Genomic DNA, 14,842 nt, shown 5'->3' with positions numbered 1-14,842 from the left:
GGGACTCTTACAGGCCTATATTTCAGGAAAAGCTGCATAGCCAAGTGGTCACTAAGAGTAGATTTCCCACAAATGCAACCTGAGCCCGCTCTGCCCAGGGTCAGGGCAGGGAGGAGGGGCACGTATGGTGTTCTCTCTGGAGATGATCAGTCCTGTTTTCTGCATCCCAGGCCTGGGGGTTGTTGGGAGTGGGGTAGCAAGCCAGCTGTCCACCCTTATAGAGAAGGGGACATGTGGATAGGAAGGGAAGTGACACACAAAACAGGAAGTTTCCTGAGGGACAGAGTTCCAGGAAGAGCCAGCCTGACCTGAGGGTACAGCTGGAGCGAAGAGGCCTGAAGCAGAGGATGTGGCTTCTGGCCCTCCCCTCCTTTTCGCTGATGGGGCCGCAAGGAGGGGAACTGGTTTTGTTCTCGGTAGCAATTGCATGATGTCACTTGGCCAGTTAGAAAGGTGTCTGTGCTAGCACACAGCCTGCCACACATTCGGTAAGTGCTCAGTAGTGGGAGGCAGGTTCAGTCAGTCTGCCTGGGCCTCAGCATGCTTATCTGGGAAATGGGGGTGGTGACCCCTGCCTTTGGCCAATCTCATTCCTCTCCAGTCCCTCCTGTGCATGGATGGGAGGCACAAGGAAAGCAGGACATAGCCAGGAGCTGCAGGCACCTGCAAGGTCCTCTTCCACCTGCTCTCAGGCAGGCACCTCGGCTGTCTCGGAGCCTAGTTCTGTAGCAGGCTGGATGAGTCTCAAGATCCAAAGGGTGCCTTCAAGTGAGCTGAGGCCTTTGCGATAACCCCTGGCATGGCCTGGGTACCAGGAAACCCACTGGTGGGCTGCCGGATGCCAGGCCCTCAGAATTTGTGCTTCCTGTACGTGAAGAAGAGCCTCCGAAGCTTGTCAGGCTGCAAGGAAGGAGGAGATACTGGGGCCTGGGGTCGCTGGACAGGGAGGGAAAGACCCAGGCTCCGAGGACCCCTCATTGACCTTGGGTTGGGGGCCCAAGCCTAGGACATGAGGCCAGGTTGGAATTCTGATAGTTGATTCCACAAGCCTCTCCCAGTGCCCGAAATCCCACCTTTAGCTCCCCAATTTCAGATGCAGGGTTCACCCTCTTCTGGCTAAGGAGAGAAGGGGAAGAAGGAGGGTAGAAAGGGTGGCGAGCCTCACCTTACCTCCCTGGAGTGCCCTGGTCTCCCCTGACCCACAGCTGGGGGCCTCAGGATGCACTGGTGTCCGAGGTAGGGTGGGGTGAAGCTGTACCCAGGCCCACAGAGATGGGAGAGGACATGGGGCAGCCGCAGGGAAAGAGCAGACATGGGATGTGGCTTCTGAGGGTCTCCACTGCCAGGTCTGTGGTCCCCAGAGAGTGAGGATCTCAAAGGCTGCTATCCATGGGGTGTGTGGGCACAGCCCTGCCCTGAGGGAGGAGCCGTCAGCACTTCCCAGGAAGATCTTTCCACCAGGAGCCCAGGCAGGAAGATCCGCGTGTGCCTGACTGAGATCAGAGGACTTGCCCATGGGGAAGGGACTCTCAGGTTTTATTGTCTCTGGGTATAGGCAGAGTGTAGTTGGGACCGAGGGCTCCAGAGAGTTCATCTGCCTCCCTGAGAACCCTGAACCAGCCCCACTCCTGGCCACCGCTCTCCACACTCCTGGTCCCCTCTCTTCCTTACTTATCAGACCCCTGCAGAAACTGAGAGGGAGGGGAAAGGACCCCTGGTCTGCTGCACAGAAAGCCCTTAGAAGGTCCTGGAAGCCCCCAGCTTACACCCAAATCTAGCAGCTGCCTCTGCCACCAATACCACCACCACCACTACCACCACCACCACCCCAGAGATCCTCAGAATAATAGCTCTGTTCATCAAGAGCCCTCTCTGGGCTGTGTTCTGAGCAGGAGAGGGTGTCTAGCATTATCCTCTGGGCACCTACCCCTGGATACAAGCAGAGGATCAGCCCATTTTACAGATGAGGAAATGGAGGTCCTGGGTGGGGTTGCTAAACAAGAATATAGATGCCAGTTAAATTTAAATTTCGGATAAACAAAGGAATAATTGTGGTATTTAAGACATACTTTAAAATGGTTTTTGTTTTGTTTTGGTTTGGTTTTTTGTTTGTTTTTTTAAACAGGGTCTCACTTTGTCTCCCAGGCTGGAGTGCAGTGGTGCAATCTTGACCCATTGCAACTTTAACCTCCCAGGTTCAAGCCATCCTCCTGCTTCTGCCCCCCAGGTAGCTGAGACTACAGGCCACCACGCCTGGCAATTTTTTGTATTTTTTCATAGAGATGGGATTTTGCCATGTTGCCCAGGCTGGTCTCAAACTCCCAAGCTCAAGCAATCCACCTGCCTCAGCCTCCCAAAGGGCTAGGATTACAGACATGAGCCACCATGCCTGGCCTCAAAAATATTTGTTGTTTATCTGTAATTCAGGTTTAACTGGTTGTCCTGGAATTTGTCTTGCCCAAAGCTACAAGGTGAGGGAGTAGGAGCAAAGGGGCCATTCTCCTGCTCCCAGAGGCGCTAAGACCCCTGCAGAGGCTGAGACGGAGGGGATGGGAACCCTGATCTGCTGTAGAGAATGCCCTTAGAAGGGCCTGGAAGCCCCCATCTTACATCCAAATCTAGCAGCTGCCTCTCCCACCACCACCACCACCACCACTTCTAGGCAGATATTAGGGCTGGAAAATTCTGTGTACTTCCAGGCAGTGGCGGTGACCTGACCTGCCTATGCCTGGGGGCTTCAGGTTGTCTCCTACCACCAGGTGCTCTCTAAGGGCTGGGAGCCGCCCCACCCCATCATGGAGCTCACCTTGTGTGTCCGTCCAGTCTCCTTGCTCTTGGTTGCTGGGATCTGTTCATAGGTGTTCCCAGGCTCTGAGAGCTCTGGGGTCCCTGAGATCCTCTTGTAGCCATGGACCCATGGGCTATATGTGGGACTGGCCCCAGGATGTGGGGCCCTGGCTGGGCCACCCCAGCAAGCTGGGATCTGCTCATAGGTGCTGCCTTCTTGGTCTGGTGTGTCCCTGGCCTCTTGCAGGAGGCCTTCTGTCCCGATGAACTCATAGATATCTGCAGAGCTGCCCTGGGAGCAGGGCTGAGCCTCTTGGCTCAGCTTTGGAAACTCCTGCCTCCAGGTAGCCCCCAGGGATCCCATGGCATCAGAACATCCCCAGGAAGTGGGAGACTCTGTGGGACCCTGGTCTGGGCTCACCCCAGAAAGGACAGGCCCCAGGCCATCAGGCCTGTTCTGTTCTCCATCTGAGAGTCTCCTTTGGGCCTCCCTGCCTGGGGAGTAGGCCTGGCTGCCAGCTGGAACTGGCCCATGCCTGCCGGACCCCTCTGTGCCCAAGCCTAGCCGTGCCTGGTTCATCCTCCTCAGGTCTGCATAGATGATGTCACTGGGGCCTCCAAAAGACTCTTCCAGGAGGGAGGAACTCTTCTCAGGGAGTGGAGACACTCTGATGGGAGCCTGGGGAGACAGGGACAGAGAAACTCTTAAGGGGCAGCCCATCACTAAGATGCCCTCCAGTAAAAACTCTCTCAGATAAGCCGAGGCCCCCTGTCTTGGCTATAGTCCTCCTGCCCGTACATGCAAGGGTTGGATACATGACACTCAGGGTCCCTTCCAGCGCTCATGCTCTAGAACTTGTTCTTTTTTTTGTTTGTTTTTTGAGATGGAGTCTTGCTGTGTTGCCCAGGCTATAGTGCAGTGGCGCAATCTCAGCTCATTACAACCTCAGCCTCTTGGGTTCAAGCTATTCTCCTGCCTCAGCCTCCTGAGTAGCTGGGATTACAGGCTCCCACCATCATGCCCAGGTAATTTTTGTATTTTTGTAGAGACAGGTTTTCCCCAAGTTGGCCAGGCTGGTCTCGAACTCCTGACCTCAGGTGATCCACCCGTCTCAGCCTCCCAAAGTGCTGGGATTACAGGTGTGAGCCACCACACCCGGCCTAGGACTCGTACTTTACCTTGGCATTCAAGGCCTTGGGTCACCAGCACTCCCACCCAACTTTCCCTTCCCGTGCTCCTCCCACCTCCATTGTGGTCCACTGGTCCCTCAGTGGCCCCAAACCCACTCACTGCTGCATTTCCCTTCAGAATGGCCCATCTCCAAGTCCATCACTCATTTGACAAATATTTAGTGAGCACCAACTATGTGCCAGACAGTGTCCTAGGTGCCAAGGACTCTGGTGAGCAAGACTAACTCTTGGGAGTTTATATTCTAATCTGGGAGATGGGCAGCCTACTGCTGCGCTGTGTAGCACAATATGGTTTGATGTGCTATATGATGGGTGAATATATCACAAGACAATGGAGTGTGGGGGCATGATCAGTGCTACAAAGAACGAAGCAGGGTCATGGGATAGAGAGAACGGCAGGTGGGGAAGGCAACATTTTCTGTCATGTAGGTGGGCCTTTCTGAGGAGGTGATATTTAAGAAGAGAATGGAATGCAGTTAGAGTGTAAACCATGCAGATATCTTGTAGGAAGAGCATTGCAGGCAGATGGTAGAGCCAGTGCAGAGGCCCTGAGGTGGGAGCAAGGTTGGTATGTTCAAGGATGATCTAGAAGGCCAAAGAAGCCAATGAAAAGGCCTCACTGAAGCCTCCAGTGAAGAAGCAGAGGGTAGCAGGGCATCTGGTGAGGCTCTTGTGGGCCCCAGTGAAGTGTTTAGGTTTTATTCTAAATATGAGGAGAAGCTGTTGGCATGCTGTGATCTGATATAAAGAAAAATCCTTCGGCCAAGCGCTGTGGCTCACGCTTGTAATCCTAGCACTTTGGGAGGCCGAGGTAGGCGGATCACCTGAAGTCAAGAGTTCAAGTCCAGCCTGGCCAACATGGCGAAAACCCGTCTCTACTAAAAATACAAAAAAAAAAAAAAAAAATTAGCCAGGCATGGTGGCGTGCACCTGTAATCCCAGCTACTCAGGAGGCGCAGGCAGGGGAAATCACTTGGATCCAGGATGCAGAGATTGCAGTGAGCCGAGATGGTGCCACTGCCCTCTAGTCTGGGTAACAGAGCGAGACTCTGTCTCAAAAATAAAAATAAAAATGGCTGGGCACAGTGGCTCATGCCTGTAATCCCAGCACTTTAGCCAAGGCGGGCGGATCACTTGAGGTCAAGAGTTCAAGACCAGCCTGGCCAATATGTTGAAACCCTGTTACTACCAAAAATACAAAAATTAGACGGGTGTGGTGGCAGGTGCCTGTAATCCCAGCTCCTCGGGTGGCTGAGGCAGGAGAATCACTTGAACCCAGGAGACGGCGGAGATTGCAGTGAGCTGAGATTGCACCATTGCACTCCAGCCTGGGCATTGCAGCGAGACTCTGTCTCAAAAAAAAAAAAGAAAAGAAAAATCTTTCTGAGTCCATGGGGTGCTATGGAGAAGAATAAAATATTGACTCACAGGCACCCCATGCTACAGCTTACTAAGGGATATTCAGGCATTTCATATCCATTTTCTCATTCAAGCTTCACAAGAACCTCAGGCATGGTAAACTGAGGCTCAGAGAAATTATGTGACTCGCCTAAAGCCACATCGCTAGAAAATGGCCAAGCCAAGGCTTGAACCAAATCTAACTGGCCACAGGCAGGCCATGGCACGGGTGAACCCTGGGTGATTCCAAGCTGGGTCCGCACCTCTGGGCCTGGCTCACCCTCCACAGCCGGAGGGAGTGGCTGGCCTGGCCTCAGGGTCTGACTGGGAGCATGGCACCCACATCCCTGGTCTGGCAACCCTGACTCTAGGTGGCCCATAATGCTCCTCACCTCCATGCTTTCCTCCTGGGAGAGGTTCCGGGGACTCACATCCAGGCTTTTCTGTGCATGGAGGAAGGAGACCTGGGGCTTTGGAGAAGAGCGGGGGCTGGCGGCCTTGTCGGGGACCACTGTGAGGAATGCCGTGGCAGGTGGGTTTTCTGGGTCCACGATGGTCTGGTGGAGGCCCCGGGTGATGGCATCATACAGATCATTGTCCTCTGGCTGGGAGCATGCGGATACGGCAGGTATGTGGTCACACATGCCCAGCCAGTCTCCAGCTGCCTGCCTGAGACTGCTGGTAAGAGACTGCAACATTCCCACCAGGTCTCTGACCTCAGGTAAGACATTGCCACAGTCTCCCTTTTTCCAATAGGGATCATGACCCCACACCAAGTGCCCCTGGGTGATAGTAAATAGGGAGGGCTTGAAAAGGAGTATGTCTGAGTGATGGATACCCCAGGCCTGGGCTCTCTGCCCTGCCACCCTCACCCTGGGGAAGTGGGGCGCCTACCCGGGGGCAGGCAGCAGTCAGCATCTCTTTGAAGGGCTCGAGCTGTGCCTCCTGGTAATGGTGCACAAGCTCAGCCAGGGTGCTGTGGCTCTGGGTGTCTCCTGAGATGATGTAACGCCGGTTTCGAAGCTGGTTGATGACAAAATGTCGGCAGCGATCACTGCCCCTGCAACACAAGTGCTTGTGGTCTGGGGCTGCTGGTCACAGGCAGCCCAGCCTTGGCCCAGGGTCTGAGCTCTGTGCCTGGGTGCAGGTGAGGGGTCCCAGCTCTTGATCCAGAACAGACCTGCCTGACCTGGGGCCACTGTACCCCACTTGGAGCCATGGTGTGTTCATCAGGAAGCTACGGAGAGGTTTTCAAACCGTGGAGCCCTGGGATCCTGGGAAGTACCTAAGCCTGCTCTGGTGGAGTCAGGGAGAGCACGGCTGTGACTGGAGTGAGGCAAGTGAGGCACTCATCTTAGGTGCGAAATTTAAAGGGGCACCAAAAAACTCAATAAAGAAAACTAATAACGCAGTATTTTAGAAAATCAAAATATATGAAAAAAATCCACAATGAACAAAACACCAAAGTTTTAAATAAAGACAGGATCCAACCCTGCACCTGTACAACTCAACCTCACCCTACTCCCCACCCTGCTGCAATGATGGAGTTCCAGCTCCCACCCCCTCTTCGGCCTGTAAAGTCCCACCCTAAAATCCTACCCTCTTCATCTCCCTTTTTCCTAGAAGAATAACCTCTACACAGTGATGTGTGTACATTATAAATGTGCAGCTTGATGAATTTCCATATAGGAACCCTCCCATGTAACTGCCACTCAGGTCAAGATACAAAACCCTTCCAGCCCCCAGAAGACCTACTTGCGCTCCCATCCAGTCAATGCCCCCTAAAGGTAGCCACCATTCCGACGCCTATCAGCATAGATTAGTCTTGCCCATTAGAGAACTTCTATAATACTTCTCTTTTGTGTCTAGCACATTTCACTCAACATTATATCTTGGAGATTGATTCATGTCCAAGTAGAATTAGTTTCTTTTTTTTCTCATTTATATGTAGTATTCTAGTTAATGAAAAATCCACCATGTACCTATTCTGATGATAGACATTTAGGTAGTTTCCGGATTTGGGCTGTTATAAATAAAGCTGCTGTGAGCATTCTTGTGCATATCTTTTGGTGAATATGTACTCATTTCTGATGTGAATATACCAAGGAGTAGAGTTGATGGGTCAAGGGTACACCCGTGTTTGGCTTTAGTAAATCATGCCAAATTGCTTTCTAAAATTATTGCAATGCGCCAGGTGCAGTGGCTCATGCCTGTAATCCCAGCACTTTGAGGGGCCGAGGCAGGCAAATCACTTGAGGTCAGGAGTTCAAGACCAGCTTGATCAATATAGTGAAACCCCATCTCTACTAAAAATTAAAAAAAAAAAAATAGCCGGTGTCGTGGTGGTTGCCTGTAATCCCAGCTACTCTGGAGGCTGAGGTAGGAAAATTGCTTGAACCCTGGAGGCGGAGGTTGCAGTGGGCTGAGATTGTGCCATTGCACTCCAGCTAGGTGACAAGAGTGAAACTCCATCTCAAAAATAAAATAAAATTATTGCAATGTATGAGAGCTCCAGTTGTTCCACATATTCTGTCTTTCCATTATAGCCATCCATTGTGGCTTTAATTTGTGTTTCCCTGATAGCTAATGATGCTGAACATGTTTTCATATGCTTATGGGCCTTCTGGGTTTTTCTTTTTGGTAAAGTGCCTGCTCAGTTCTTTTGCTTTTACTTATTGAATTATCTATTTTTGCTTATTTATTTGTAGGAGTTCTTTATATATTCTGGATTTGAGTCCTTTGTTAGATATTTGTATTCTAATAGATAACTTCTTCAAGACTGCACCCTGACCTTTTTCTTCTCTTAATAATATCTCTTTATAAGAATTATAAAAATTCTTAATTTTGGCTAGGTGCAGTGGCTCACGCCTGTAATCCCAGCACTTTGGGAGGCTGAGGCAGGTGGATCACCCAAGGTCAGGAGATTGAGACCAGCCTGACCAATATGGTGAAACCCCATCTCTACTAAAAATACAAAAATTAGCTGGGTGTGGTGGCGTGTGCCTGTAGTCCCAGCTAGTTGGGAGGCTGAGACAGGAGAATTGCTTGAACCCGGGAGGCAAAGGTGGCAGTGAGCAGAGATCGCGCCACTGCACTCCAGCCAGAGCGAGAGAGCGAGACTCTGTCTCCAAAAAATAAATAAATAAATAAATAAATTTTAAAAAATTCTTAATTTTAAGGAAATCAAGTTAATCACTCTTTTAAGATTAGCGCTTTTTGTGTCCTGTTTAAAAAAACTTGGCCTCTCATTTTCAAAGGCATTTTCATTTACCTATGACAATGTTTTCCTGTTTTCTTCTAGAAATGGTATTGTTTTGCTTTTCTTTCTTGGATCTACGATCCATCTAGAATTAATTAATTTTCATGTATGGTATGAGGTAGCAGTAATTGTTTTCCATTTAGATATCCAATTGCTCCTGCACCAATTATTGAAAAAACAAGCCTTTCCCCCACGGAATTGCAGTGATGCCTCTGTTGTAAATCTGGTAACCAAACATTTGGGACTATTTTGGGACTCTATTCTGTTAATTTTTCTATTTGTATACCTTTGGGCGGTCCCACTTTGGTCTCTTTTATAAGTTAGTATTCTCCCTAAGATCTCACCTGGGAAGAAACAAAACAAAAGAAAATAAAAAAATCCCCAAAGCTCAAAAGACATTTGAAAACTACTGAGTTAGTATATTTCAAAATGCCTAGCACAGTGTCTGGCACACAGAATAAAAATATTTTAACAATGATTAACATTTATTTAAAGTCCTTACTACATTTTATGCATTGTGTTAAACAGTTTTAAACGTATCAACTGATTGCACACTTTCATCAAGCCTATGAAGCAGGTACTATCATATTCCCATTTTACAGATGAGGAAACGGGGGAACAGAGAAGCAAAGTAACTTGCTCAAGGTAAGGGTTTGAACTGGGGCAGTCTGAATATGTGACAATTTTGAATCAGAATCTGAAGCCTTTTAAGTTTACTCTGGAGCCCTGGCCTCCCTCCCTACTTAGGGAAGCCTTCTTACCTCCTCTGAATTCCCCGTCCTGACCAACCTACTCTTGGGACAAGATCTGACATCACCATCTTTGCCTTTGTCCTCGCTACCTTGTCTCCTTCTCTCTATCCCCACTGTCTTACCCTAGCCTAGACCTCATTATCTCACATCCAGGCAATTGCAGGAGTCCCCAGTGCCCCCACACCTCCAGCTCTGACTTCCAGTCCTCTCTCCATAGGCTGCCTAAAGGACCTATGCAAATACATTGAACCAGATCATCCTTCATGGTCTACAGACTTAGCCAGGCATCCAAGGCCATTCTAAGCTTTTTCCACCCTCCCTTCCAGGCATTCCTCCAAAGGAACCAAGTGTTCTGCTGCACCCAGCAACCTGCAGCTCCCCCAGCACCCTGCAGCTCCCCCAGCACCCTTGTCTTTCATGCCTCTGTATTTTTGCACATGGCGTTCCATCTACCAGAGATACCCTCCTAAACCCCAACCACACCCTCCTTTCTGCCTAGCAACTTGTATTCTTCCTTCTATCCTAGGCTCAAAGTTCACCTCTGTGAAGCCTCCCCGAACCCCACTCACCTCCTTTGAAGGCCGTGTCTTCATCCCTAGTATATGGCCAGTGCTGCTCAGGAAGTGTCTGCTGAGCATGTGATGGATGATTGAGGGATTCAGGAGTCAGGACCCAGGGAAATCTAGGCAATTTGGGCCAGTGGGGCCTCTGCACTAATCTGCAAGGCTAGGTTATGGTAGGATGAGCTTGCTTGCCCAGAGGGCTTCCCCTCTTACCTGTAGGACAAGATGTAGCCAGTGGCTCGGTCACTGAGGCGGATAAGGAAGGAACCAAGAGCTTTGTCCCTGAGTAGCTGCTCCGTCTGCCTGGGCAGAAGACATGCCATTAGCTGGGGTCTGTGCCCTAATGGCAGCAGGTGCAGCCTGACTTAGGCCTCTCTTGGAATCCCTGCTGGCCATGCCTTTGGGTTCCAGACCTCCAACCCTTTATAGAGGAGCCACTCAGACCTGTGGATGGGTCTGTGGCCTGTCAGGGTTCAGCATGTGGCCTATCTGAGCCCAAATGATTAAGTTCAAGACTGTCTGGGGCTGGGTCAGGGTCTGAAGCCATATGCAACCCCCCCAACTCCCCACTGCAGCCTCACTAGCAGGCACATTGGTTGCTGACCCTGGCCACCCACTCTCCACCTGGATGGTTGTGTAGCAAGAATAAATCCACACAGCTGGAGATGTTGAGGTTTAGTGGGGAGTCCCTCCCTCAGAACCACTGTGTACAGTGCTGCAGGATGTGCACTACACACAAGCTTCTGCAGGGAGAAGATGCTGCTGTGTCTGAAGCAGCTAAAAGGGACTCATTCCTCTTCCTGTCCCCTTCAATCCCAGGCAGTTACAGAGATTTTCCACATGGTGCCAAATACTTTGGAGGCATGAAGAAAAGTTCCAGCTGTCTTGTGGTTTGGCAGTACACAGACCAGATATGTATTCCCTCACTCACTTACTCACCAAATACCGAGCGCCTGTTCTACGCAGCTAAATCATTTGCAGGACCAGGTGCTAAATGAAAACATGGGGCCCCTGGTTCAAAACGATTTAGAGTTTCCAGACAGTGACAGCAGAGCATTAAACCAAATGTGGAGCCCTTTTGACCCTGTGCTGCTGCACGAGTCAGTGACCATAAAGCTGGCCCTGGCTCTGTGCAGGTGCTGTGCCAGGACCTAAGGACTGGCTGGATTTGCCATTCCTTCATCAGGTGTTTTGGCTGCTTGGAGACCCAGCCCAAATAGAAAGCCAAACCTGTATCTTGGCCTTTATACCTAGGATAACCATGCATCCAGGTTTGCCTGGGATGGCCCCATTTATGACGGTTCTCCTAGCTTAGTTACTAATAGTGTTCCGGTTTGGACGATAAAAGATATGGTCCCCTAGTTACTCATCAAGTCAGGGCCTGGCCCTCTTTCTGTCCTCTGGCAGCCTGGCAGCCCCAGCCATCCTCAACTTGTACTAAAGTAGAGGCCGTTGCCCTCCCCGACTCTGCCTACAGAAGCCACCACCAGAGGATGTGGCGCTCCTCAGTCTGTTCCCCTGCCCCCCGCCTCCAAGGGCCCCTGCCTAGCCCAGGGAAAGGATGGGAACCAGTCTGATCCAGAGTTCCCAGACCATTTTCTCAGCCCCAAGGGGCTGTGGGCTATGAGGGACCTGTGGGTAGAAGCAGCCTTACTTGCGGGTGATGAATCCATGAAACCAGGGAGGCAGGGCACCGTTCTGCAGAATGAAGGGGGCCTGTGTCTCCATGAACCACTTCAGGGCAAGCTCCTGGAGCTCAGCCAGGGCCTGGCTGTCCCCTGCCCCCTCAGGATCTCTCCCCAGGCTGAGCTGCTTTAGGCTGTCCTCCATGCTGGCAGGCACCAGAGTGGAAGCAGAGCGCAGCCAGTGCACATGCCTCTATATCTGCGTGTGCTCTGGCTCATTTGCCTGAGCCCGTGCCCTACCCAAGGGCCCATAGCACACAGCAGCCCCATTGTCACCTCTGGGCTGGTGGCTGGTTCTCTCCTCTGATGCTTTGGGGTGGGGCACCTTGGCTGGCTGCAGACATGGGGGAACAATCACCGTAGCAGCCTGAGAGGGGTAGGGAAGGCCCTCCGTGGCTTCCTGGCCAGCAGATAAGCTACCTCACTGGGTTTGGCCCTGTTCCCCACAACCTCCTGTCTTTGTCACAACTAAAGATCAGACCCTGGCAAAAGTCCACAGCACTGCCCCTGGGAGCAAAGCAGTGGATTTAAATTCTAGGTATCCTTCCTTCGTGGAGGCTATTTTTATTTTGATGGAGAAGTTCTGTGCTAACCAAGTCTTCCATCCACTCAAGATTTATTGAGTCCTTACTGTGTGCCATGTAAATCTGGGCCCTGGGAATAAAGCAGTGAATAAAACAGCACTTTGCCCTCATGGCACATACATTCTAGAGGGAGACAAACAAATATATGTGTAGAATATAGAGTCAAATGGAATAAGCACTCCAAGACAAAGGCAGAAGAACAAGAGAGCACATGGGCTGCATTATGCAGACACAGAGTCAGGGGTCGGGGTCAGCCTTGTCCAGGAGGTGACACTGAACAGTGAAGGAGGAAGCCAAGCATGTACCTAGGGGAGTAGACTCTTGTCAGCAGGGGGAAAGCATGTGCAAAGACGAAGAGGTGGGACTTTGTTGCAGATTTTGAAGAAAAAACAGAAGCTCATGTCGTTTTAACAGAGAGGGGACTTTGGAGTAGATGGGTCCCCTGGAAAGGCAGGGATAGGCCTGTGGTAGGAAGCTTTGGAGCAGTTAGGGCAATGGGACCATTTGTTCACACAAACATCCCTGAGTATCTAATGTGTTTCTGAGTTTCCTAGCAGAAATCCAGGCCGGGTGGATGGTAAGGCAGCAGATGGTGCAGTCAGCCTCAAGGATCTTGGTGATACTCCCACTTCCACCACACACTGATGTGAGACCACCCTGGGCAAGTAGCTGGGACTGACGTGGGGTCTCAAGAAACTTACTAAATTGTTGCAGAGAACTCAATTTCCTCATCTGTAAAATGGGCATGAGGCAAAGCTATTTTCTAGACTCTAGGGTCATTATGAGGACTAAGTGAGAGGGCATAATGGTTGATAATGAAGGGGCATTTATATAAGTTCAAAAATAGGATGCAGGTACTGTTACAATATGACTGAAGTGATTTGTTGTCATTTCCCCTGCTTAAAGCCCTTGATATATAACTATCTCTGTCTAACTCATTCTGAAGTAAGACAGAGATGCTTGGTTTCATTTTTCCTTGAGGCCAGACCTGTAATCCCAGTACTTTGGGAGCACAAGGTGGGAGGATCACTTGAGGCCAGGAGTTCATGGCCAGCCTGGGCAACATAGTGAGCCCCTGTATCTAAAAAGAAAAAGGCAGAACTAATCAATGGCGATAGAAGTTAAGATAGTGGTTACCTTGGGGACTGGGTGGGGAGCGAAAAGCTGCTGGTGCTGACAGTGTTCTGTTTCTTGATCTGGTTGGTGGGTTGAGTGAGTGTGGATTGAGTGAGTTGAGTGAGAGTGCTCACTGTGTGAAGATTCATGGTTCATGCATTTTTCTATGTCTATGTTCTACTTCAGTGAAAAAGTTTAAAAAAATGAGGGTGTTACAGCCAGATTTCCTTGGTTCAAATTCCAGCATACTAGCTATATGACCTTAACCAAATGATCTAACTTGTCCTGCTGTTAGGAAGGTTAGATTAGTTAAATCCTTAGAACAGTGTGTGGAATAACATAGTGACTAGGATTAGCTATTAATTTGATGATGATGATGATGATGATGATGATGATGATGATGATGGTGATGCAAGATTCTGAAATACAGAAGGTCTGCTCCTGTTGATAATTATAATTATTGTTATTATTACAACATCATCATGGGTTATCTGAAATCAAGATAAAAATGCCTGTGAGGGTGTGTGTGAGGCTTATAGTGTAGAGAACACGCAAGGACATGAGGCAAACCTGTGATCTCAATCTGGGCAGCTCTTTCTCATCTTATTTATTTATTTATTTAGAGACAGAGCCTCGCTCTGTCGCCCAGGCTGGAATGCAGTGGCACGATCTCCGTTCACTGCAACCTCTGCCTCCTGGGTTCAAGCGATTTTCCTGCCTCAGCCTCCTGAGTAGCTGGGACTACAGGCGCGTGCCACCATGCCTGGCTAATTTTTTGTATTTTTAGTAGAGACGGGGTTTTACCGTGTTAGCCAGGATGGTCTTGATCTCCTGAGCTCTTTCTCATCTCTCAGCCACATTTTCCCCATCTGTGAAAAGGGTAACCATACTTAGCTCACCTGGGGATGGGGTGAATTACTACAGATAGTGCTTTTCTCACAAGGACAAGCACATAGGCACATAGTAAGTGTTCTTGGAGGGTCTACTACTAGGAACATCACTTTTATAAACCATTAATTCCCAGCCTTGACACTGGAGGAGTCAACTCTTGCCAGGGGACATCCTAAGGGAACCATCATTCGCATGCTTGCTAATTGGTCTTCCCTGTCACAAACATAAGCCAGGGATATAATGGCATCAGAACGGAAATCCCAGGCCTGGGCTGACAAGGACTGGAACTCTTTAAAATGAGAAAGGGGGCTGGGCATGATGGCTCACACCTATAATCCCAGCACTTTGGGACACCAAGGCAGGAGGATTGCTTGAGCTCAGGAGTTCAAGACTACCCTGGGAAACATAGCAAGGCCCCGTCTCTACTAAAAAAAATAAAAATAAAAATAAATTAGCCAGGTGTGGTGGTGTACACCTGTGGTTCCAGCTACTTAGGAGGCTGGGGTGGAAGGATCGCTTGAGCCCAGGAGGTTGAGGCTGCGGTGAGCAATGATTGCACCACTGCACTCCAGCCTGGGCAACAGAGCAAGACCATGGCAAAAAAAAAAAAAAAAAA

The 14,842-nt window shown here is 50.0% G+C and overlaps 1 protein-coding gene across 5 annotated transcripts, besides 1 other annotated feature; it reads right to left on the bottom strand.

Annotated features, from left to right (window-relative positions):
• Positions 3–14,243, bottom strand: SH2D7 (SH2 domain containing 7). 5 transcript variants are annotated; one of them, XM_017022487.2, is made up of 7 exons: positions 14,140–14,243; positions 10,164–10,249; positions 8,922–8,979; positions 6,271–6,436; positions 5,769–5,981; positions 2,807–3,466; positions 3–900 (listed from the first exon to the last, which is right to left on the bottom strand). In XM_017022487.2, the coding sequence occupies exons 1-7, from the start codon at positions 14,202–14,204 to the stop codon at positions 850–852; spliced, it is 1,299 nt and encodes a 432-aa protein (XP_016877976.2). In that variant the 5' UTR covers positions 14,205–14,243; the 3' UTR covers positions 3–849. The 5 variants fall into 5 exon arrangements, with proteins under 5 accessions (XP_016877976.2, XP_047288898.1, NP_001094874.1 ...); XM_047432942.1 differs by lacking the exon at positions 14,140–14,243 and adding an exon at positions 11,605–11,804 and having other exon boundaries at positions 10,164–10,253; NM_001101404.2 differs by lacking the exons at positions 8,922–8,979; positions 14,140–14,243 and adding an exon at positions 11,605–11,804 and having other exon boundaries at positions 10,164–10,253.
• Positions 268–337: an enhancer, noted in NCBI's record as "active region_9909". NCBI's record gives its function as "activates an Ori minimal core promoter by ATAC-STARR-seq in GM12878 lymphoblastoid cells {active_cell/tissue: GM12878}" and the evidence as "EXISTENCE:reporter gene assay evidence [ECO:0000049][PMID:35858748]".
• Positions 14,244–14,842: the final 599 nt, after the last annotated feature.

The sequence above is a fragment of the Homo sapiens genome, chromosome 15 (genome assembly GCF_000001405.40).
Source record: "Homo sapiens chromosome 15, GRCh38.p14 Primary Assembly".
Lineage (NCBI taxonomy): Eukaryota > Metazoa > Chordata > Mammalia > Primates > Hominidae > Homo > Homo sapiens.
The sequence above is the reverse complement of the archived record's forward strand: the minus strand, read 5'-3'. Positions and strand labels throughout refer to the sequence as shown.